Source organism: Homo sapiens, chromosome 22 (assembly GCF_000001405.40).
Source record: "Homo sapiens chromosome 22, GRCh38.p14 Primary Assembly".
Lineage (NCBI taxonomy): Eukaryota > Metazoa > Chordata > Mammalia > Primates > Hominidae > Homo > Homo sapiens.
Window position 1 is genome coordinate 44,260,000 of NC_000022.11, and position 24,419 is coordinate 44,284,418.

Genomic DNA, 24,419 nt, shown 5'->3' on the forward strand with positions numbered 1-24,419 from the left:
CCCACCAGGAGATTACTTCAAGACAACGGTGAGTTTACAGCCTAGCTCTGTCCACCACGGCGCCCTCCAGACTACCCGACTGAGAAGACATACAAGCAAGTCAGGTGGACCCTGCACCTCCTCACTCCCTCCCCTGCATGCCTTTCACACCAAGTTCCCCTTTAAAGACCCCACTTTCCTCCTCGAAAGCTGAAGTGATTCCCTTAAGTCAGGAGCCTGTACTGTTTCCTCTTAACCAAGCTCTGGAATAAAGTCACTTTCTTTCTACTAGACCTCGTTCTGTTCATTGGATTCTGCAAGAGGCTGGACTTGTGTTCGGTTACGGCCTGATTTGAGAGCCCATCTCGAACCTCCGTGCTGCACAGGAAGGGAAGAATGTGACATGGACTCATTCTCAGCCCAGGACCTGGTGACAATTCAGTCTCTGGCCTTGGAGACGCTGTCTGCAGGTGCGGACAGTGCCATTAGGCTGGTAAAGGTTGGGACAGAGGGAGCCCAGGGGCTGAGGGAAGAGGGACAGAAAATCAGAGGAGGCTTGGAGAGGAGGTCCAGGTGATGGTCGAAGCCTTTGCTTGGTTTCCCCGGGAATGGTAAGCTCACTCCTTTACAAGCCATTCCCTTTTAAGCTGCTCAGTTCCCTGGAAAACTTAAAATGCAGAGCCAAACGCTTGCCTGTAGGCCACAGTCTGGCCTTCTTGGCCCGTGGTGGCCCTTCAGGGATAAGGGTGGCAGCAGCCATGCCCCTCCTCACTCCTTTTTGCTGCTGCAGGCTGACATGGAAAAGAGGTTGTCCATTCTGGGGTGGGGGCAGCGTCACTCCTGACTTTGGCCGAGGCCTCCCCATGGTTGCCCCTGCATGGCAGTCTTTGCACTCCCCAGAGTGGTTTCCCTGGAGGGCAATGTGGCTTCGGTCACTCCCTGGGGATACATCTCTGTTTGGGGATGACAAGCACAAAATTCAGGCTGGTGGACCCGGGAGGGAAGGGGTGCCACTGGGGCATGCTGAGGGCCTCTATGGCATTGACGCAGCTCTATTTCTTGTGCCAGTGGTGAGAATGTGGTGTTTGCTTCATTACTTTATATATATATATATATATATACACTATATGGATTCTCTTGCAGAAAATGAAATATTTCAAAATCAATGACTTTTAAAAAAAAAAAATTCTACTTATAGCTTCTTCGAGGGTAAAGTTTTGACGCCTTAGCTGGGCCTCAGGGCCTCTTAACAACAGAACTGTTACTTTCGGTTTTGTGGTCTCCACTCCAAAGTACTCTCTTTCCAGAAAGCCCAGTGTGCTCTTCACACTACTGGGAATACCCTCCCCTATCTCCACCTAGAAAACTCCTACACATCCTTCAAGACCTCACTCACTGGGCGCCCCTTCTGTGCAGCTTGTCTGACTCCCACAGGCCTTTTGTAACACCCTGTACCACACAGCACTGCAGAGTCCCATGGTAGAGATGACCATGGCCTCAATGTCAGACAAGCCCGGGTTCAGGTCCCGGCTCTGCCCCTCAGAAGCTGTGTGACCCTGGGTGAGTCATTAACCTCTCTGGGCCTTATACCACTCTAGGCCATCCTCACTGCTGCCCAGTGGGGCTATCGCTCCTGTGGACACAGCCCAGCTCATCAGCCCACAGTAGCCCCGGGAATGCTTCCTCATTGCACAGCCTTCTGGAAGGAATCTTTGGCAAATGTCAACTCTTGTTCTGCTCTCACGGCAAACACGCCTTGGTCACATACCCGTGAGTGCAGGAAACTGTTCCTGTGTGGCCACTGACTCCTGCCACGGAGAGCACTCGCCTGCCCTGATGCGGGGGTCATGTGTCCTCCTAGGCACTCTGCAGGTCACCTTGCCCCTCATGGCCAGTTCTGTGGACCCCAGGCTCAGGCCCACCAGTGCTCCCCTCACTCAGTGGCAACTTGTGGCCCCTCACACTAGGCCTTCCATAAGCTGGAACTATAGCACCTTCGGCCAGGGCCTGGGCTGGGGGCTCAGAACTGAGTCAGGTGTGGGCCCTGCCCTTGAGGGCTCGAAGCGGGTAGGGGAGCCACACCAGGACCCTGAAACAAGAGCAGCAGACCCACACTGTGTCAGCGGCGAGTGTCTGGCAGTCTTGGGGTCCTGGCCAGGGTGGGAATTGGGGGAAAAGTTCTTGGGAGCAGCCACAGAGCTGGGCCCTGGACAAGGCTTGTTGGGACGACAGGGAGGGCACTCCAGGCGGACGGAACAGCCTCAGCCAAGGTCATTCAGAGGATCACAAGGAGCATGGCTGTCATGGCACAAGATGCTCCTGGCAGGGGTGAGTCTGCAGAGGCGGCAGCCACAAAGCCTTCATCTGCCAGGAGAAGGTGTCTGGACCTGATCCCAAAGTTGTGGGGAGCCGACATGGAAGATCATGCCTAATTCTCATAGCAGCAAGATTAGGGCTGCAGGGTACTGATTATCTCTTCTGTGCCGGGCACTGTGCCAAGCACCTCCCATGCGTGTGGAGCCTCAGTTCTCTCAGCAGCCTCAGGGGTGGGGACCACTAGTCCCTGCAACTTGCTGATGAGGAAAATGAGGCTCAGAGAGACAATGTCACTAGCCCAGAACTGCATATCTAGCTAGCAGTGGAGCTTGGCCTGTGCTGCTGACCGCAGGGCCACACGGCCAGCCCCTCTCGTCTGGGGCAGTGGCCTGGGCAGGCTGGGGAGTAGCAGGCTGCCCTGCTGGCCCTAGTGGCCCTGGCGAGAGAGGAGCTGAGCCTGGAACCAGGAGCAGGGCCCACGGGGTGAGGAGGGTCTGCAGCTGGCAGGCCTGGTGGGCTGGTGCCTGCAACCTAAGTGGGAAGATAACAGAGCACCTGGTAATTTGAATAACAATGAAAGCTTCCAGAATGTGGAACATCTGTGACAATAACCCTTCCCGCAGACGAAAGCAGAGGAGTCATGAGGCACAACACGCCTCATTCCAGGTGAACTGGAGACAATGTGTTCCCCAGCAGCAGCAACAGCTTCTGTTAGTTAGTTGGTGCTGACGGTATGCATGTGGGGTGTGGGGCTGGGAGCCTTCACGTATTTTTTTCTTTCTTTCTTTTTTTTTTTTTTTTTTTTGGAGATGGAGTCTGTGTCGCCCAGGCAATAGCGCAATCTTGGCTCACTGCAACCTCCGCCACCCGGGTTCCAGCGATTCTCCTGCCTCAGCCTCCCGAGTAGTTAGGATTACAGGCACCCACCACCACGCCCAGTTAGTTCTTGTATTTTTAGTAGAGATGGGGTTTTGCCATGTTGGCTAGGCTGGTCTCGAACTCCTGACCTCAGGTGATCTGCCCACCTTGGCCTCCCAAAGTGCTGGGATTACAGGCGTGAGCCACTGCACCCGGCCGCCTTCACATATTTTTCTAAGGGATTCTCACAGGGACCTGAAAGGGGGAGATGCTATTAATCCTACTTTGTAAATGTGTCCCTGCAGACAGTACAGGGACATCAAGGAACCTATCTGGGGCAAGATGGCCATCCCAAGGAACACTGCCTCAACAAGGAGAAAGAGACTCTGCTGACGCGATGGAGTTGAGGGTTTTGGGAGAGAGAGATGAGCCTAGATTAACTGGCTGGGCCTGATGCCATCACAGGGTCCTAAGTGAGGAAGGCAGCAGGCTCAGAGTCAGTGGAGGGGATGTGGCCATGGGAGCAGAGGTTGGAGAGATGTCCTTGCATCTGGAAGGGGCCACAAGCCGAGGAATGTGGGCACCTCTGGGAACTGGAGCAGACAAGGAAACAGACTCACCCCCGTGGCCTCCAGCAGGGCCCCGTGCTGCTGATGCCTTGACATGAAGTGTTCATGAGTCTCCTTTCCAACTGCTGTCCTCTGGATCTGTACAAGACTAAATCCGTGTTGCTTTAAGCTACTGCATTTGTGATAGTTTATTACAGCAGCTACGGGACACTCACACAATACCCAAGAGAGATGTGTGCATTCACTTCACCAAGAGACGTGGATGTGAAGGTTCATAGCAGCTTTACTGATGACGGCCGGAAGGTGGAAACAACCCAAGTTTCCTCAAAAGGTGATGGAGAAACACAGTGTGGTGCGTCCACACAATGCAAAGGGCACAGATCCAGGCTGGGGCCAAGATGGGAACCTTCATCTTTTGCTTCCTGGCCCAGAGTGCTCTGCCCCAGCACCTGCCTTGTCAAAGCCCTGGTGGACCCATGGGATTGCCCAGTTCTTGCACCTTCACTGGGAGGAAAGCAGAGTAGATGACTCCATTTTACAGTTGCGTAAAGTGAGGCTCAGAGCCATGCTGCCCAGGGAGGAGCTGAAGAGAGACCCGAGGCCTGCTGGGGACCAGATCTTCTCAATGGTGGTTCCTTTTGGCAGCCTCTCTCCAAGCCCAGTGCAGAGCCTGGCATATGGGAGAGCTTTATGGGAGAGTTTGCTGAATAAATGACAGAGAGCAGGTGTGGTGTGAGCTCTGGTGGCTGGACATACCTTCCCATCCCCTGCAAACCTGTCCTCCTTGCAGGGTCCAATGTGCAGGGGTTTGGGGCACAGGTGGGGTGTCCTGACGGATGTAGTCACTCTCAGGGGATGTCAGTCCATGGGGCACCTCGGGCATGGCATGGGAGGCCTCTAATGTGGCCCAAGATGTTTAACCAGAGTCCTACAGGCCCCAGCCTGAATTGGACCCAGCAGTTCACAAGCTGTGTGACCTTGGGTGAGGTCCCCAACACACACACAAGAGCCCCAGCAATTCACAAGCCGTGTGATCTTGGACGAGGTCCCCAACACACACACCACAGCCCCCAGCAATTCACAAGCCATGTGACCTTGGACGAGGTCCCCAACACACACACCAGAGGCCCCAGCAATTCACAAGCCACGTGATCTTGGGCGAGGTCCCCAACACATACACCAGAGCCCCCAGCAATTCACAAGCCACGTGACCTTGGACAACGTCCCCAACACACACCAGAGCCCCCAAAACACAACCAGATCCCTTAACACACACACAACAGAGACCCCAACACACACACACCAGAGTGTTGACTTTTCCCTTCTGCTCTCAGTCCCCCCATCTGTAAAATGCGGCTGCTCACAGCCCCCTACTCTGATTCTACATTGAGGCCTGTGGTACGCAGCCCTAAGATGGCCTCCAAAGAATCTACCTTCAGCTACTCACACCCTCCCCTTTGGTACCAAGGGAGACCAAAGGATGGGGACGGAGGCAAGTGGCTCGCTTGTAACAAATGGGTAGAAGTGACAGGGATGGGATGTCCCTTCCAAGGTTAGGCTCCAAAAAGACTGTGGGTTCCACCGGGCTCTGCACCTTGAACTCTCTCTCCCAGAGCCCTCTTTTTGGGCAGTCAGCTGTCATGCCATGAGCTACCCTGTGGAGAGGCCCACCTGGTGAGCAACTGACACCCCCAGCCAACACCTGAACCCGCTACCAGCCACCTGAGTGAGCTGAGAGGTGTATCCTCTCCAGCACAGCCTTGAGATAACCAGTCTCAGCCAATGCTTTGATTGCAGCCTCCTGAGAGACCCCCAAGCCAGGAGACTCCAAGCCAGGAGACCTAGTGAAGCCACACCCTGACTCACACCTTTCTGACTCACAGAAAGGGTTAAATAAATGTTTTAAGCTGCTGACTTGTGGGGTAACTTGTTACACAGCACTAACTAGCTAATACAAGGCTTCACAGCAGAGCTAGAGATTCTGGGAGAGGGAGGATCTTGCAGATTGTGCATCTGGACATCCCTCTACTCTATCCTCAGGGAATGAGCCTCTGACCTCAGCTTGCACACCCCAGCGATGGGGAGCTCCCTGCTTACTGAGGCCAGCAAATCTGCTGTAGAGCCAGGCTGCCTGGGAAGGTCTTCCCTCTGCCTCCTGCTTCCTCTTCCTACTGGTGCCAGTAAGCCTCTGGGGGTTCCCTGGCACCAGTCCCATCCTTCAGGGATGTGTGGGTTCCCCCAGAGTGAGCTGGTGTCTGGATCAGGCTTCTCTGCATCACAGCTTCATCCCCTTCTCTGCTTCAGGGGAGAGTTGCTGGGAGGCAAGTGAGGGCTCAGACCCAGCCTTGCCATTCAGTGTGCACCTGGCAGAGAGGACCCCAGGATGTACCAGTCTTCACTCAGCCTTAGCTCCAAGTCACCATCTCCACCCACCTCAGTTTACTCATCTGCTACATGTGAGGACATGAGACAGTACATGTAACAACGCTTGGCACACAGAAAGCACTCAAGAAATGTATATCCTATTGAGTCGGGAGAAAACATATTCAAAGCAGGGCTGCGGAGATGCTTAAGGGAATTTTTATTTTGTCTTCAGCAAAATATCTTGATGGGCCACCTAGATGGATGGGGATGGGGAGTGGACGAGGCAGTGGGGTGTGTTTGTGTGTGTTTGTCGGAGGGCTTGTTGTTTGTTGGGGGGCTGTGTGTGTGTTGGGGGGTTGTGTGTGTGGGGCTGTGTGTGTGTTGGGCTGTGTGTGTGTCTGTTGGGGGCTCTGGTGTATGTGTGTGTTGGGGGCTTTGGGGTATGTGTGTGTGTGTGTGTGTGTGTGTGTGTGTTGGAGGGCTCTGGTGTGTATGTGTGTGTTGGAGGCTCTGGTGTGTGTGTTGGGGGGCCAGGGCACATTGTAGGTGCTCTGGGAGAGCCTCTCCCTGGCTGTTTGACTTTGGACACATGCTGTGGCCTCTCTGAGCCTGAGTTTCTGACAAAATGGCAAGAAAAACGCCACTGGCGAGGTGGTGCACAGGGGAAATGGCCGTGCTCTGCAAACTCCCTCATACCCCACTCAGCTCCACGCCCGTCAGCTCCCCTGGTCTCCAGGAAAAACCAAAATGAAGATCCTGCTTGAGGGCGATGAGAATTATTTTGTGCTTTATAGGGCGCCACATAATCTAAATAATGAAACATGGAACCTTTCTTTGCTTCAGAAAGAAGCTGGCGGGCATCCCAGCTATGTAAAAGGCAGGCAGTGGGGTGGGGATGACAAAGCTATTTGGTGCCAGCTATGCCCAGCGGCTTCTGGCAGACAGGACGGTGCCTGGTATGTTGTTGGAGCCCACGGATTGCACCTGGGATGGGGACGTGGGCACTGCAGGCAGGGGACATCGCAGGAGCGACAGGCAGAGGGCAGGGCACGCAGCCCACATCCGAGGCCAGGTCCCATGCCCCTCAGCTGTCCTGATCCTCTCGCGGCTTCCAGACCCCATTTGCCCTGGAGTTCTTCCTGCCACAGGTGGGAGCGCCTCCTCCCCAGGCCCATTGCAGTGGTCTCTCGGGGCATCTCAAACTCAAAACACTCCATGCTGCTGAGACCAAAGCCACAGCCGCCCCAAGGTCCCCATCTTGGAAAATCTCCCAGGCTACTCAGCCCAGGTTCCCAGACATCCTCCTTGGACCCCCACCTCCTTCTCAGCCCCCACCCCAGGCCCTGGCCAATCTCACGGACTCCACTCCCTGGTGCCGGCCCCTCCCCACCACCACCCTCAGCCAAGCCACAGACATGGCTGCAGCTCGTGGGAGAGCGGCAGCCTCTCTGGTAGACCCCCAGCTGCCTTCCCAAAGGCAAATGCGTCCTGTCACTCTCCTCGAGGGCACCCCTGTCCCTGGACCGAGAAGCCCACATCTTACCATGGCCCTGCACAGTCAGACCTACCTGCATCTCCCACCTGTCCCCTCCTGCGCTTCCTTCCTCCCCCACACTCATGCCACCTGGCTGCTCTTCTGATGGATTGATGTGCAGCTGTCTCTGCCTCAGTGCCTCTGCACGTGCTATTTCCAGTGCCCGGACCACTCCCCACTTCCTCCCCTGGTCTCTTCCAACTCCGACAGACTCATTCCTTTCCATCCTACAGATCCCAGCTGCCCAGAGAGGCAGGGCCAGGCCATGGAAGGCTGTGGATGCCCAGCTGAGGGCCTGTCCTTATCCTGCAGGCCCTCTGGGAGTCTCCGAAGGGCTGGGAGCCTCTGCAGAGACACGGCCGGAGGCTGCCCTGGCTTTGGGAGTGGGGTCAACAGGGAGCTGTGTTGGGGGACCTTTGGGGGCTTCCATTATTCACAACCCGCTTGTAGCCTTCCTTCCTGTCACTTTACCCTCCTGATGTTCGGTCACTTCTCAGGGAACTTAGGGCCTTTATACATCCCCATGGTAAAGGTTAATTTTTAATGCTGCTTTGGTAAATATTTGATGCCACTGCTTTAATGGGAGGAGGCATTAGACATTAAATGCCACAAAGTGCTCTGAGATGCTGTCCTTTTCATCGACAGCCTCTGTCCATAACTCCTCCTGCCTCCCGCTCTACGAAAATAAAGACTCTTTCTCCTTTGCCTCCTGCTATGAATTTTTCAAAGCGTTTTTCAAATCCCTTCTTGCCCCTGGTCAGCACCTCCATTAGCCAGATAGAAGGTCAAAGAGGTTTTAAGCTGAAAGATGACTTAGAAGGCGCAGTCCCTTCCCTCATTTTACACAAGGGGAAAGTGAGGCTGAGGAGGGACACGGCCTGCCTGAGGTTAAACAGCGAGGCTGTGGGTGAGGGAGTGGAACGAGGTGCCGGGACTCCCAGCCCAGGGTTCTGCTCTGCACCAGCACCCCCCAGAAGACTCAGTCCAGTGGAAACAGGCCACGGAGCTCTCTGACTGTGCTGCAAGTGGGCAGCAGGGAGAGGGTGTTTTAGAGGATGGGGAGAGGCCTCGGGAAGGAGCGTGACCTCAGCGACGTTTTGAGGAATGAGGAGGAGCTCGCCAAGGGGCTGGGGTGGGGAAACCTGTGAGGTGAATGGGTGTGGGTAAGCACCTGGGGGCAGGGATGGGGACTGATCCACTCTGTATCCCCAGTCCTGGCCTGGGGCCCAGCCTTGGCCCATGCTTTTTAATCCTTGTGAAATGAATATGTCCTTTGCCTCCAGGGCTGTGTGCACTGTGGCCTTGATCATCGGCTCTTGGTTCCATGGGCCCTGGCACCCTTGCATCTCTGTGCTTCCTTCATCCCGGGCTCCGACCTGACCAGCTTCCATGCATTCTGCACTCCTGGCCTGTCCCTGATGCTGGGGCTGCTTCCCCGACGTCCTTTCTACTGCCCGGGACAGTAAACATCCACAATACACACACGCACAGCATGCCACACAGACACCCACAATACACATAAACACACATACCATGCCACACAGATCCACACAATATCACATACATATGCCATACAGACCCTCACAATATATACACACACACCACGCCACACAGACCCTCACAATATATACACACACGCCACACAGACACCCACAACACACATACACACACCCCATGCCACACACCATACTGCACAGACACCCACAATATACACATACACACACCATGTCACACAGATGCAGAGTACATATGCACACACACCATGACACACAGACACCCACACAATACACACACACACCATGCCACAGACAGAAGACACACACACACCATGCCACACAGACGCCCACAACACGCGCACACACACACACACACACTCCATGCCACACCATGCTGCAGACCCACACAATATACACACACACCATGCCACAGATACAACACTACACACACTACACCATGCCAGATACCACACCATACACACACACACGCCACACAGACCCACACAATATACACACACATGCCACAAACAACACACACACAATGTCACATAGACCCACACAATATACACACACCAAGCCACACACTCACAACACATACACACACCCATGCCACACAGACATCACACAATGCACACACCATGCCACACAGACTCCTGCTCACTTCTTACCTGTCCTAGCCCCTCAGGACCCACCTCTGCCCTCTCCGCCTCTCCCCTGGTGCTGGCGTCCCATGGTGGTAACGATGCACCACCCTGTGCCCAGCTCCGCCCCTCCAGCACTGTCCTTCCTGGTCAGCAGCAACACCACGTGTCTCTTGGGTCAGACCTCTGAGTTGTCCTTGTCCTCAGTGTGCCCCTCCAACATCCAATTCCTTTGTGGGTCCTGCCTGCACTACCTCCAAAATACTGCTTTGTGTCCCCCCACTGCCTCGGGCACAGTGATAGCCTCCCCCTGGGCCTCCCTGCCTCCATTCCTGCTGGTTGGCTGCTGTCAGCTGCGTGGCAGTGGCCTCTCGCCAAAACCCCACCTGACGAAGTCTCCACACTTCGCTGGCTCCATATTTCCCTTAAACGAATGGAACCACTCTCTCCTATCTCGACAACCCTGCAGACTTGAGTCCCGAATCTCCCTCCCTCTTGGATGCCGTCAACGTTGAGATGTCCCACAGACTGACTCATGGCTTTGGGGAGGAGGTAAGCGGCACTCCAGTAAGTGTACACATTGATCAGGGGACACATCTGGGCTCAAGGCCCTGTGGGGTGACAAGGACGTGTCCCTTAGAAACATAAGTGACAACAGTATTGGTCAGAGTCCAGGCAGGGACACAGCAGCCATGGCTGTCATGGAATAGGGCATTTATGATAGGGACTTGAGTTTCCACACTTGTGGGAGGAGCTGGGCAGTGAAGGTCCAGAGGGGGACCTTGGAGGCTTACAGAAGGGACACTCAGCAGTGCCGGGCAGGGAGGCATCAGGGCCAGCTCGCATGGAGGCTGAAGCCAGGCCCATCCTGCCTCTGTGAGACCACAGAGAGGGTCACAGGGATCTGCCAGCCTAGGGTGGATGGTCGGAAAGAAGAGCCGGACACAGACGGAAAACCCAAGGACGCTGGGGGCCCTGGTGCACCCCTGCAGCTGTGCTTCCCTGGCTCTGCCCAGTGAGACCACCAGCACCACTGACGGCTGCTTCCACCTCCCAAGTCTCAGACAGCTCAAGCCAGCTCACCGGGAAGCAGATCCTGGGATACAACGAGCCCAGAGCAGCCAGGCTGGCAACAGAACCACGTAGCACAGTATCTCCTTCTTCTTGTCTGGCTAGAGAAGCTGTGAGTAAGCCCTGAGCAACCTCAAACAAGGGGTAGGTGAAGGAGGCACACTTAGCAGGGACCTCTTTCCCCACTCAGAGTGGATAGAGACAAGAAAAGAGGATAGATTTTGGGGGTTCTTCCTATGAGTGGGGTACTGAGCTAGGCCCTCCCCACATCCCCTTTGATTTCATCCCCATGATCCCCTTGCCAGGTGGAGCTCATTTACTCCCTGTGCCTATATCCACATGACAGCCCAGAGAGGTGATGCAACTTGCCCAAGGACACACAGCTGGGCAGCACAGAGTCCAGTCCAAGCCCAGCCCAGGCAGCTCCAGAGCCCATTGTTCCTGCCTGCCCCCACCTGCAGCACCCAGCTATTCCTGAAGCCATAGGCCCCAGCACACAGGGTGTGACAGGCTCAGTCCCAGAGCTCACAGCTGAAGCAATCAGTTGACAAGTGCCCCTCTCCCCCAGCACCCTCTGGGGCACCTTAGAAGCTACAGGAAGTCCAAGCTGGAGGGTGCTTAGGAGGAACAGGGAGTGAGCACCCTCCAGCCCATGGGCAAAACTCAGTTTCCATCATTCTGATGGGAGCCAAAATGCCCATGTTGGGAGACATTTGCCAACAAGCATCTATTCTTGGAAGGAAATATTTTAGCAGTTAAGACCAGGGTTTTAATAGCAGGGGAAATAAAGTAGAATCCATGGTCCTCCCTGACCCATGTCGATGGAGATAAATTCCTTCTCCACTCGCTCTGCCCTGCAAAGCCTAATCTGGGAGCCGGGCCTATTAAGGGCCCCTGAACTAAATTGGTTTTTTGGGAACATTACTGCCACCGGCCCAACCACACTTCTCTCTGTAGGGTGATCTCGCTTCTTCCATATTACTCTTGCTGCAGCCCGGAGGGTGATTATGTGGAATTCCTGTCAAATCAACATAAAGGAGCATCCTCTGAGCTGGAGGCGTATTCACGAGCCCCCAGATTCGCCTGGGCCTTTGTGGAAGTGTCCTTTTGTTAATTACTCACGCAAGCTGGCATCTTTGTTTGCACAGTAGTTGCTGCGTTAGGGCATTTTAATTAAGATTCCAAACTAAAGATTCCAAACTGGCTGGGTGAAGCCGTGTGGGTCTCTCCCGGGGCAGGATTATAGGAGCCACCTCTGAGGAGGGGGCTTCTATAAGATGCCTGCTGCAGGTAGCACGTCCCCAGAAACAGGTGTGTCATGTTGCCAAGCTCCTAATGGGAGCAGTTGCCTTTCTCCCAACAGCTGCACCCTGGGCCCAGAGACACACAATCTCCATCTGAACTCCAGATAGCTGTGCTAGGTCTAGTTCATTCCAGAAGTGTGTCTTCAAAATGACTTCCAAAAACCTTCCCTAAGGAATATTCACCCTTTGGCTGAAGACATTGATTTTTCCAAGCAAAGCCAGGGCAGGGTCAGAATGGATTTTCTACACATCACTGGACAGAGTTCCTTAAGAGCAGGGGCCCGGCCTTTTTCATCTTTCTGTTCCCAGCACTTAACACGGGGCATGGCCTGCAGCCAGCCCTCAATAAATGCTTGCTGAATAAATGAGTAAATTAATCTTGTCTGGGCTGCATCCATGCAACAAACACGGATTGTTCCAGAGACAGAAAGGGACAGGGCTGGAGGCTTTGAAAGAGGATGCCCAAGACGTTTCCTTGGGGGGGACTAAATACCCAGATGTGTGGCACAGACCAGTCTTTCTGCCTCCTCATCTGCCCTGCTTTCTTTGCCTGGGGAAGGGCCAGGAGCTGCAAAGGGCCGATGAATTGGCCTCCCAGGACCACCTTGCCCCTTGTCCTGGCTACCATTGCCCTGGGTGCCTGTCTGTGGGTGTCCCTGGAAACACTAGATTGCTGTTTCATGTGCACATAAGAAACACATTGGCTGTAATCCCAGAACTTTGGGAGGCCGAGGCAGGCGGATTGCCTGGGCTTAGGAGTTCAAGTCCAGCCTGGGCAACGTGGCAAAACTCTGTCTCTACTAAAAATACAGAAAGTTAGCTGGGCATGGTGGCACATGCCTGTAGTCCCAGCTACTCAGGAGGCTAATCAGGAGAATCGCTTGAACCCCAGAGGCGGAGGTTGCTGTGAGCTGAGATCGCACCACTGCACTCCAGCCTGGGCAACAGAGCAAGACTCTGTCTCCAAAAAAAAAACAAAAAAAACCACATTGGCTTCCCACAGTAAAGTTCACAGATCAATGGAGCAAGTGAGATTATGTGAGGAGGTAAATATACTAGCATTTGGACCATTATGCACAGGGGCAAGCTGGTAAACATTTAACAACCTGTTCCCCAGGGGAAGAAAACCCTGATTTGTAGCACGTGCTGTCAATTTCCCGAGCGTAAATACTGGTGCTGTCACTGAATCAAAGACAGGAAGAGATACAAGTAGCCACCACTGATAGATTTCCACCATACAGACACAACAGATGCAAATACCGTCACCGGCACAGATGATGGTAAATGTAGCAAAAGAACTAAGAAGTGATACTTTTGAGGATGTATTATCTCTGTGTTTAATACAATGTATTTAATTGCATGTTTATCTAATTTGCAATAGTGGCTGTGTTTAACAACAGGCTCCCAAAATTCCTACACCCTAAACTCTCTTGAGCCAGTGTGATGCAGCCCCATCTCATAATGGATATGTTTACTTGTTCGTTTTAATGCAAATTAGGAAAAATACAACTCTTAAACTAGCTATGGTATTGCTTACAGCAAATCTGAGTTTTCTACAAACATGACTTGATTTCAAGTCAATTAAAAATGTATTAAGTAAACAGAATGAGGGATGTATACAGACAAGAACACCAAGGAACTGAAACGTGGGGGATAAATGTTGCTTTATGAAAATGGCTTCAAACCTCAACTGTCTTGGGGGTGCAGTAAAACAAATGGGCAACTCACAAGAGAGGAAATACAATTAATTAACAAATGAAAGGACAGGTGTTTTATCTCAAGAACCATCAAAGAAATGCAAACAGACTGGGCGCGGTGGCTCACGCCTGTAGTTCTAGCACTTTGGGAGGCTGAGGCAGGTGGATTGCTTGAGGTCAGGAGTTCGAGACCAGCCTGGCTGACATAGTGAACCTCCCGGCCCCCCCCTCCCCCCCACCCACCCTGTCTCCACTAAAAATACAAAAATTAGGCGGACGTGGTGGTGGGTGTCTGTAATCCCAGCTACTCGGGAAGCCAAGGCAGGAGAATCACTTGAACCTGGGAGGCGGAGGGAGGCTGCAGTGAGCCAAGATCACACCACTGCACTCCAGCCTGGGCGACAGAATGAGACTCCATCTCAAGAAATGCAAACTGTATAGAAATAGGGGCACCCCATGCTGGAGAGGGTGCCCCAAATCCAGTGCCCTCAAAAGCTGCCTCACTGCACCAGCCCTTTGGGAATGAGGCTGGCGCTGGAATCGAGACCCATAAAACTGTCCACCCCCTGGACTCAGGAATCTCCCTGCCTGGCATCTATCTGGAGGAAATCATTCCAGAAAGGGAAAGGCCACAAATTCACAAAGGTGTCTGCTGTTTTCTGGAGTATGTCTCCTCCTCCTGCCCCCAGGAGAGCTGGGATTGGTGTTATTTATCATCGTATTAATAAAAAAAATTATACGTTGTATAAACGCCCCGCTGTAGGGAATCCCACACATGGAATCTGGACAACTGGGTGGCCGCTGAAATGGTATTTAGAAAGGTCGGGTAAAATCGCAGGGTCATCGCTGATTCAATAGGAGAACAAAATCAGAAGGCACATCATCATTAGAGACACACAAAAGCAGGTGTGCATTAGAAGGGAGAAAAACGCAAAGCAGTCCTATCTGTGTGTGAGCGGGATCCCGAGCGGCTTTTCTTTTCCTATTTTTTACTCCTCAAATAATAGTCGCAATAATAATCACAGTTAGCATTTCCTGAGGCATCTGCCATGGGCCGGGCTCTGTTCCAGTCCTAACAATCGTCCCACAACCTAAGGCCACTTGTGGCCATTGTACTGACGGGAACACTGAGGCTCAGGGGAGCTACTGGCTTACCTGCAGTTGCCCACTGGCCCGTAGACAGGATCTGAACTCAGCTCTGATTCGAAGACTATGCAGCTCACCCCTCTGCGGGTTTGCTAGAGTACAGCTAGGTTTTCAACGTAAACTTGTATTAAAACTAAGCGTGGGTGTTGCGTTTTTACCTTCTGTTCTGCCGGGCCCTCCTCTGGTGGGGAGTGGTTTGCAGAGGGAGGTGGGGAGCTGCCAGGTGGAAGAGAAGAGTACACCTGCCACCTCCGGAAAGATTCCCAGGGCTGGGAAAGACCTTCACAAATGGTGCAGGGGAAAAGACAAACCCCGAAAGCAAACAAAACCAACCACGCACCCCAACCGAGCACACACCAAGCTGGCACCATCACCTCAATTAAACCCCTGCCTGGCAGCCCGCGAAGGGGCCGACGGCGGATCAGAAGCGAGGCTGAGTTTCGGGAAGCTCCTGGGCCCAGACCAGAGAGGACTTGTTTCACTGACACCTGTGGGCCAGATCTCAGGTGCTTTGGGGGACCCCTGAGGTCCTGCCTGGGGGATGGGTGAGGCCTACCTTGCACAGAGAACCCACAACCATAAGGCAGCTATGCAGCCGGCATGGGGTGGCATTATCTCAGGGTTAGCTCTTACAGGAAGCGAAGTAAAGGCGGAGACGTTGCTCTTCCCAGTACAAGGATGTGGGCTTTGGAGTCCACCAGACCTGGGTTCCAATTCTGACCCAGCTGCCGTGCAGTTCCCAGCAATCTCTCTCCGAGCCTTGGTGTCTCCTTCATAAAATGAGGCTCGGGATGGCCAAGCTGCAGTGCAGCTGGGGAGGCTCAATGGCACAATTTGTTGCAGCTGCTTAGCTCAGCAAGTCCTCAATAAATGGGAGCTACTGTTACAGTAATAATGCAGCTCATTGATTGGACACTGTCTAGGTGCCTTCTGTGCACAAGGCACGGGGCAGGAAGATTCATTCATGCAACATGGATGTATTGAGCACCTACTATGTGTCAGGCCCTGTTCTATGTGCTGGGGTCACAGCTGAGCACAAGAAACACCAATCCCAACTCTCCCGCGTTTTCCATCCAGTGGAGGAGACAGGCACAAAGCCACAAAGCAAACGTGATGTCAGGCGGCGGTGCACATGATGAGGCAGCTGAAGGAGGACAAAGGGACAAAGTGACGGGGGGAGGTGGCTGCTTCTATTTTGTAAACCTTGGCCAGGGAAGGCCCCTCTGATCGGGTGACTCTGAACAGGGGCTGTGGAAGGGAGGAGTGAGCCCTGCTGGGATCCAGGAGGAGAGAGGTCTGGGTGGAGGGAACAGCAGCGGGGCTGGTGTGGCTGCAGCAAGCGGCAGTGTGGGGAGATGAGGACAGAGGGACAGTGGGGTGCGGTGGAGTCAGATCACATTGTTGGCCAAGGAAAGCATTTTGATTCCTAAGTGTGAAGGAGGCCATCGGCGGGTCTTGACTTAATGTTTTTAAAAGATCACGCTGCTGCTGTCGGGGACAAAGGCTGGTGTCAGGGAGATATGTGGAGGCAGCTGCCTCCATCCTGGCCAGAGAAGATGGACAAGGAGGGCTGATCTCAGTGGAGGGGTGGGTATGGGGTGGATTCTGGCTTCATTTTCAAGGTATTGCTCATGGAACACGTGAAGCAGGAAAGAAAGGGAGGAGCCAAGGAGATGGTGGGAGGCAGCGGGGATGTGGATGTGCCGGTCCCCCACGTCTATGGGACATCCAAGAGCTGCCCTTGAGGACTAGGCTCTGCAATGACCAGCAGATCTGGATTCAGGGGAGAGAGACCAGGGAGAAAGAACGGGAGGTGGACAGGATTGGAGCTGTGGATCCGGGTGGGGTCCCCAGGGGTGGGTGGAAATGAGAGAGAAGTGAAAGGGAGGAGCGCTTGTGTCTAAGATCAGGCAGATGATGAACGAGCTGCAAAGAGGAACAAGAAGGGCAGCGATGAGGGGCCAGGAGCCAGGACCCTGCGGTGCAGAGAACCCAGGGCTCCCCAGTTCCCCTCAGCCCCTCCCTCCTCCGAGGCTCTGCCTAAGCTGCTCTCTCTGCCGGGATGCCCTTTCCCCACTTTGGCGAACTCCTATTCATCCACTGAAACCCTTTCTTTGTGTTAGCTGCTCCTCCCCTGGCTGACCAGTGCTTAGTCTGGTGGACCGTGAATGCTGGGACAGCTGAGCACTGTCTTGGACAGAGCCGTGAACAGTGGGGAAGGCTCACGGACGCGATGCCGGGAGAGGGATCCAAGCATTTGCAGAGCAGCTGCTCCGTGCCAGGGCCTTTCCGCGTTTCCTCTCATTTAAGCAGACAGCACCTGAGAGGCCAGTTCTGTCACCCACTGTCCTGGTGAGGAGGGGCAAGCTGCCTGCTGGAGGCCCTCCAGGTACCTCAAAACAGGGGACCTGGGATTTGAACCCAGTTCTGTTTGCCTCCAAGAGCCTTTGCTCCTAACTCAACTACTCTGCCTCCAAACAAAACAAAACAAAACAAAACAAAACAAAACAGCCTCATGGCAGGTGGGGCTATTCAAACCGAGGCCAGCTTCCTGGAGGGTGAGTGAGTGCTGGATCGCTGGGCCGCACCTCCTAGGCAGGGATGTGGAGGGGATCCCTACAGCAGGTTCCAGGCAGTGCTGGAGAGCTGGAAACCCTCTCTCCCTGGAGGCCGAAGGACCCTGGGCGTGAGACAGAGGCGTGCTCACAGAGGCTAAAAGAGAACCATTTCAGGCTAGAAAATTAGGAACCCCCATGGCCTGAGGTGGAAGTGGATCACTGGGTTATGGGCCACCGCCTGCTCCTTGGACAATTAGCACAGCCATTGCAGGGTGGTTATGAACACTTTTCCATCACACGAGAGGCTCGACGGGACATAATGTTGAATTAAAAACCCAAGACACACCATTTTATGTGCAGGATGACAACACTGCCCTGATGACCGGCCAGGCTGGAGGGACACGGAGCCCTGCGGGTGATGGTGAGGTCACTTGGTTCCCACACTGGCAGTGTCCTTGTGATGGTTAATACTGAGTGTCAACTTGATTGAAGGATGCAAAGTATTGATCCTGGGTGTGTCTGTGAAGGTGTTGCCAAATGGGGTTCACATTTGAGTCAGTGGGCTGGGGAAGGCAAACCCACCTTCATCTGGGTGGGCACCATCTAATCAGCTGCCAGCGTGGCCTGAACATAAAACAGGCAGAAAAATGTGAAAAGGTGAGACTGGCCTAGCCTCCCAGCCTCCATCTTTCTCCTGTGCTGGATGCTTCCTGCCCTTGAACATCAGACTCCAACCAAGTTCTTCAGCTTTAGGACTCAGACTGGCTTCCTTGCTCCTCAGCCTGCAGACAGCCTATTGTGGGACTTTGTGATCGTGTGAGTTACTACTACTTAATAAACTCCCCTTTATATAGCTCCTGTTAGTTCTGTCCCTCTAGGGAACCCTGACTAATACAGTCCTCCAGCAAGCAGGGGCACCTTTATGGTGGAAAATGAAGCAGAAAAACAGAGGAAACTGCGACTGTCCCTTGGGGGAGTGCTGAGGAGAAGGAGGTAGGTATTAAGGCAGGGAAAAAGAATAGCAACATGACCGCAGCCCCCAGGGGCGGCCTGTGTGCTGGCTCCGGGTGAACGGGCCTCTCCACGCATCTTAATGCCCCCCTGAACCTTTGGGGGTACAGAGAGGGGTCAAGGAGTTGTGTTCCCCAGGAGAAGGGGTGAGGAGAAACTCTGCAGCTGTCACAGGGGTCCCGATGCACCTCAGGGGCCTCCGTGGGTCGTGGTGATGTGGATCCTAGCTGGGCCACAGTCAGCCACATCCAGGATGCGGCGGGAGGAGCAGCATAGGCTTCGGCTTGAGGAGGGTTCCTAGAGGCTGGGACTGTAGCCTGCACTCTGGGGAGTCTGCACAGTTGGGCACCAGGGCGTGGGTAGGAGGAGGAGATTCCCTGCAGTCCCACTGTGTACCCTCGGGACCTCTCATCACCATCATTGTCCAGGGCAGGCTCTCATCACCATCACTGTCCAGGGCAGGCACTGAGACTAGGGAGGGCCAGCAACTCGTCCGAGGACACACAGCAGGTGGAGTCACTGGTTCTGAGCCTTTCTGTCACCACCCGCCTGCCGCCCATGGTACCCACCACCGCGGAGTGACACTGATGAATGGACAGCCTCCGGGGTTTTAGCCAAGCTGTCCAAACAAACGGAAAGCAGCCCAGAGAGCCAGCAAAGGAGGGAACGCGCGCCTTCTTGAGCCCCAGCTGGGAAAAGACAGGAACTGGAGGGGACAGCCCAGTTTCCTGGTCTAGCTGGAACCCCCAAGGAGCTGCAACTCCATCCCCACTCAGGACATCAACTGTCTTCTGAATTCCAATCACAGAAGCCTCCTTGGTATTTGATGTTACGCCAAGGAAAGAAGATATTTGGTCATCTCCCTTTTCAGTCTCCTCATTTTCTGGAATTTCTTGCTGTTGGCTGGCACCCTCCCTGCAGAAACCACACGCCAAGGACCCTGGCTGCAGAGCCAGGAAGAACATGATGCTTGGGTTTCAGCAGGAGAAGGTTCTGGGGTTGGGTGAACTCTGGGACCTCACAGGGGAGGACGAATGAGTTTTGCAAAGAGCTTGAGGGGTTCTAGGCGCAGGGAGAATAAGGTGAGAAACGGTGGTACTGGGGCTTTGCTGGTAGGCAGAGGCCAATGGATGGAGAGGAACTCTGGACATCCCCCCGCCCCTGCTGGGCTCCTGTCTCTTCAGGTGGCCTGAAGTCCCCAGGGTCCAGGGTGACGGAGCCAGCACTGTAGAGGTGCTCAGGCTCTAATGGCTGCTCTGCCCTGTCCCTGCATGCCCCACAGGCAGCATCAGCATCTCCCAGGAACTTGCTATAAATGCAGAATCCTAGGCCTACCCCATCATTAGGCATCAGAATTTGCAAACCCAACAAGACCCAGGGGATTTGGATACCCCTTAAGATCTGAGATGTACACATGATCGATCCCCTTGAGCCAAGTTGGGAATTTTTCCCTGAACTCTGACAGCCTGCGAGGGCTTGGGGGCTGGGAGGGCTGGGGCTAGGCAGCCTCCTCTCTTCCAGCCACTCCCCATCCCCCATCCCCACTCAGGCCCCTAGACCTCAGGGCAGGTTTTGAAGGATGAATAGGAGTTCCCCAGGGAGATGTGGGGCAGAGCACATTGGGAAGAGAACTGAGTCAAAAGCAAGGAGGTGTGAATCTGCAAGGGATTTGAGGGGTCAAGGCTGGGTTGGAAGGCATGGGCAGTGAGGTGGGGGGAGGCTCTGAGATAGGTGAGGCCCAGGTGGCAGTCGGCTCAGGATCTGACATAGGCTGGGAAGACCCTGGCTCAAAACCATGGATCTACTGTGTGGCCTTGGGCAAGTCACTGACCCTCCCTGGGCCCAAGTTCACTCATCCACACAAGGTGATGAGGTGTCCTGCTGAGCCCAGTCCCCAGCGTGGGAGTGACAAGAGTCCATGGAAATACCAAGGGGGGCAGTGTCTAAAGTCAAGCACTAACCGTGGTTCCCAGCACTCTCTGCTGGGCCCTGCAGGTCTTACAGGGTGTTGAACAGCAGCCTGAAGCTTCAGGAGGGGGCCGCTCAGGTAGGGAGGCAGAGTCAGGCCACCAAGGGCTAGGGAGCAGGCTAGGAGGCAGCCGAGGCCCTCTCTCAGAGATGGGAATGTGGATGCATGGGGGAGGGAGGGAGGTGGGGACAATGGGGAGTGGAGCTGGGTGTCCCAGGAGGATGTCAGCCCCCATCAGGTCCTCACAACTGCACTGAGAGGCCAGCCCTGCCCAGTTTACAGATAGGGACACTGAGGCTCAGGCAGGGGAGGCTCGGGGCAGGCAGGTTGTGCGGCACTGGCGGGGCCAGGTGGGTGTGTCTGACTGGGAGCCACTGCCTGTGCCCCGGATTTGAGACAGCAACAATAATGACCATCACAACCATGAGAGCGGCACCTCCCAGGACCCAGGCCACAGCCTCAGTGATGATGACAGCACAGCATGTGGCAGGAACGTGGCAACATCCTCGGGCCTGGCTTAACCCTGGGGGCACAGCAGCTTCCCTCGGTGCCCCCTCCACTGCTTGCTCCTTTAGCCTGAGGTGGGCCCTGGCTGTACAGAGGTGAGACCTGGGCTGTCAGGGTGAGGGGACCAGGGCCCGCCACCTGAGGGGAGAGAAGGCTCAGCCCAGACCCTGTCCCAGACCCCTAGTGCTGATGCTCCTGCTGCATCCCTTACACGGGATTTGCTGAGCAGCTACTATGTGCTGGGGCCCTGAGTCGGGCTGAGGTTCTGGTCGGGGGAGCTGCACACCACTGCACAACTGACAAGGGTAGGGAGTCCAGCAGGAGGACGGAGGTCCAGATAGTGAGGTCAGGTCGGGGATTGGTGGGAGGGCCTGGCTGGGCTGAATACTGGTGGAAGTGTGTGTGTGTGAGTGTGTATGTGTGTGTGTTTGTGTCTGTGTGTGTAGGGGGTAGTGCTGCCTCCTGCCGCGCTGTGAACTGAGTGTGCAACTGTGCAAGGAGGGCCAAGGTGCTTAGAGAGGCTCTCTACGCCTGGGAGGAAAACCCAGGACCTCCACAGTGCGAAGGAGACACCGTTAGGTGACGAAGGCACTTTGTCGCAGGTGCGGTGTCCCTGGGGTGCCTGCTGGGTCACACTGGGCTCTGGGCCCTCAGGGGTTGTCCTGACTACTTTCAGGAGGAAATGACGGGTGGAGTCTTGGGGTCACCAGAGAAGACACAGTCCAGAGAATCTGAGCAAGAAACTTCACAGTCTGAGTTCAGTAGCTACTAAGCGGAGGGAAAGCCCCGCTTCTCCGTGAAATTAAACGAAGGCAGCTGAGCATTGTGACCATTGCACCACTCCTGACGCCCCTGCTGGCTCCTAACTCAGTTATAAATCCCACGGGCGGGGGACGGCACAACGCCCCACCTGCCTGGCCACGCGATTCGGCAGCACTTGGATTTTGCCCAGCCAGCTGGCAGGAAAATCACATTTCTTATGATTGATGGAGTGCGTGTCTGTGGGGACCAAGAGGCGGGGGCTGTGTGGGGCTGAGCCACTGCCGCCAGGGCCTTCAATACTGCTGTTCAGCGGTGGCCTGGGGGCTGCCTCGGGGCCCTCACCCACCAAACCCAAGGGGTTTCTGAGAGGGGAGGCTGTGCCGGCCTCCGCTGGGGAGCCGAAGGCCTTGAGGCTGGGCCCAGCAGTCGCCCAGCTTACTCCTCTGCCCCAGCTCTGGGATCTGCTCCCCGCCCACCGTGGGCCCTCCCGCTGCAGCAGCCAGGGTGGGAGCCAGGGGCAGGGAACTCCTGGGCACTGAGGCAGTCCTGGCCCCCAGCACAGCTGCCCCTTGCCTCCACCTCCCCTGGCATCACCTGACTGCCCTGTCCTGGCAGTGCCTTGGCCTCCTGTCTCTGTCCCCCCTGCGGTGGTCCTTGACCCACTGCTTGGGTCCCACTAAGCCTCCCCAGAAGTGGCTGGCCTCATTAGGAGACTCCAGGAGCTCAGGGGATGTGGGTGTGTCTGCAGCTGTCTTCCTCCTGCTGCCCCTGCACAGGGAGCCCTGAGGAGCTGGAGAAGCTGGATTCATTCGCAGGAGAAAGAGCTGGGGTGGGCAGGGGAGAAAGGCAGAGAAGCCACAGAGGCTGGGCTCATAGGAGACTTCTGGAGGTGAAAGCAGAAGTGAAGAGAGATTTTGAAGAGCAGCGGCACTCAGCAGGAGGCTCCTGAGAGGGCTGTGAGGGGAACAGAAGCCTTTCCAGGGGCTGATGAGTGTTCAAGAACCTCCCTGGTCCACACTCCTTGCCTGGACATTCTCCAGTGTGCCCGAGGAGGGCCGCAGAGGGCGTTTGTAATGGCTGTTTGGGTGCCAAGTGGTGTTTCATTGACTGGGACACCACATGGAGGCTGGGCCACCCGGGGACCAGGGACCTAGTCGGGTTACAGTCAGAGCTATAATGCTGGAGATGTCCTGGGTCACACAGCTGGGAGGACCTTGGAGTGGCAGGAAAGGAGGCTCCTCCCTGATCTCCAAATGAAATCCCCTCTCACGTTGGTTCCTCAACTGGCAAAACTGAAGCCCAAAAAGGAAGCTCCTCACCCAGAGTCACGCTGCGTGTCAAAGAGCACAGCGGGAGTGGGACGGTGCCCGTGAATCCAGCCAGGGACTGGCTATTCCCTTATCCTGCACCACACCTTTGTGGGTTCTGACAACCTTTTTTCACGCTCACAGGGTGATGGGAACACCTTCCTGAGCCTGCACTCAGGACGGTCAGGAAAGACGAAGAGCCTCTGAGCTCCAAAAGGAAAAGTGTCCCACCTGGACCTGGAGCTCAGCTGCCCACTCAGGCTCCGTGCACAATCCCTGCAGGCTTGGCAAGCTCTCTGCATCCTGATGGCATAGCACAGTGCCTGGCACACAGCAGGTGCACAATGTGTGCTTGTTGGGGAAAAGCAATATGGAACAGGGGTAGGGTGGGAACTGCTGCTGAGACAGGCAAAAACGTTCTGGGCAGGATGAGATCGGGGAGCTGTTAGCAGCAAGCACAGTGACGTAGGAAATGGAAGACCTTGAGGCCGGGGCAGGAAAACAGCACCCAGGTGCTGAGTGCAGGGTGCTCACGACATCCTCCATCCCCTTGGCAAGTGTTCGGCGAGGTGTGAGCTATTTATTCCAAATGTATGTGCATGCAAAAGGTGCGGGAGTGGGGGAGGACCACCGTTTTAAACGGAAGATTCTCAGCTATCAAAAAGCTTGGCTCTTATAGACGTTTTCCAGTGCCTCCTGAGCTGTAGTGCCTATGAGCATCACCCTCAGAGATGCCTGGTCAGTAGGCTCTGGGTCTTTAGTTTGACAAACCCTCTAGGTGTGTCTGTTGCAAAGGATCCACATTTCAGAACACCCCACTCTTGGGTCCTGCCAACAGACATTTTATTGTCTGTAGCTCTCTGGAGTCCCCACTGCTCAAGGGTGGAGGCTGGCTTCTTCTCTACCCATCACCTCCACATCCCCCAGAGCCTGGCACAAACCCCTGCCCAAGGACCCACTCTGCCAGCATTTGTCAAACCGAGCCACACAGGGCTGTGTCTTTGTCTCCTGTGTGATGGATGGTGTCATTATTCAATCGATAAGCACAAGCTGATTTATGCATCTTATTAATTATTTAATAATAATTGAAAAGGTCACTACCTGCTAGCTATGTGAACGATCACTAACTCACGTCATTGCTGCCTCCAAAGAGGAGGCAGCAAGGATTAACTGAGGACCTACTATGTGCCAGGTAGGTGCACAGTTAATCCTTGGGAGGGGGCAGTCTTACCCACTCCTCCTTCACGAGGATCGGAAGGTTAAGAGGGGTGAAATCTCATGCCCGAAGTCAAGGAGCAGGTAAATGGCAGAGCCGGGACTCAGACCCAGG

General features: G+C 54.8%; 1 protein-coding gene across 2 annotated transcripts in view, besides 3 other annotated features; it reads right to left on the reverse strand.

Moving 5' to 3' along the window:
* Positions 1-24,419, reverse strand: part of SHISAL1 (shisa like 1) — an 88,050-nt gene that overhangs the window by 16,335 nt on the left and 47,296 nt on the right. The gene's annotated exons all lie outside the window — the stretch shown is intronic.
* Positions 3,068-3,583: an enhancer, noted in NCBI's record as "H3K27ac-H3K4me1 hESC enhancer chr22:44658947-44659462 (GRCh37/hg19 assembly coordinates)". NCBI's record gives its function as "activates a minimal SCP1, AML or CMV promoter by ChIP-STARR-seq in naive H9 embryonic stem cells {active_cell/tissue: H9 hESC(naive)}" and the evidence as "EXISTENCE:reporter gene assay evidence [ECO:0000049][PMID:30033119]".
* Positions 20,716-21,216: an enhancer, noted in NCBI's record as "H3K4me1 hESC enhancer chr22:44676595-44677095 (GRCh37/hg19 assembly coordinates)". NCBI's record gives its function as "activates a minimal SCP1, AML or CMV promoter by ChIP-STARR-seq in primed H9 embryonic stem cells {active_cell/tissue: H9 hESC(primed)}" and the evidence as "EXISTENCE:reporter gene assay evidence [ECO:0000049][PMID:30033119]".
* Positions 22,128-22,627: an enhancer, noted in NCBI's record as "H3K4me1 hESC enhancer chr22:44678007-44678506 (GRCh37/hg19 assembly coordinates)". NCBI's record gives its function as "activates a minimal SCP1, AML or CMV promoter by ChIP-STARR-seq in naive H9 embryonic stem cells {active_cell/tissue: H9 hESC(naive)}" and the evidence as "EXISTENCE:reporter gene assay evidence [ECO:0000049][PMID:30033119]".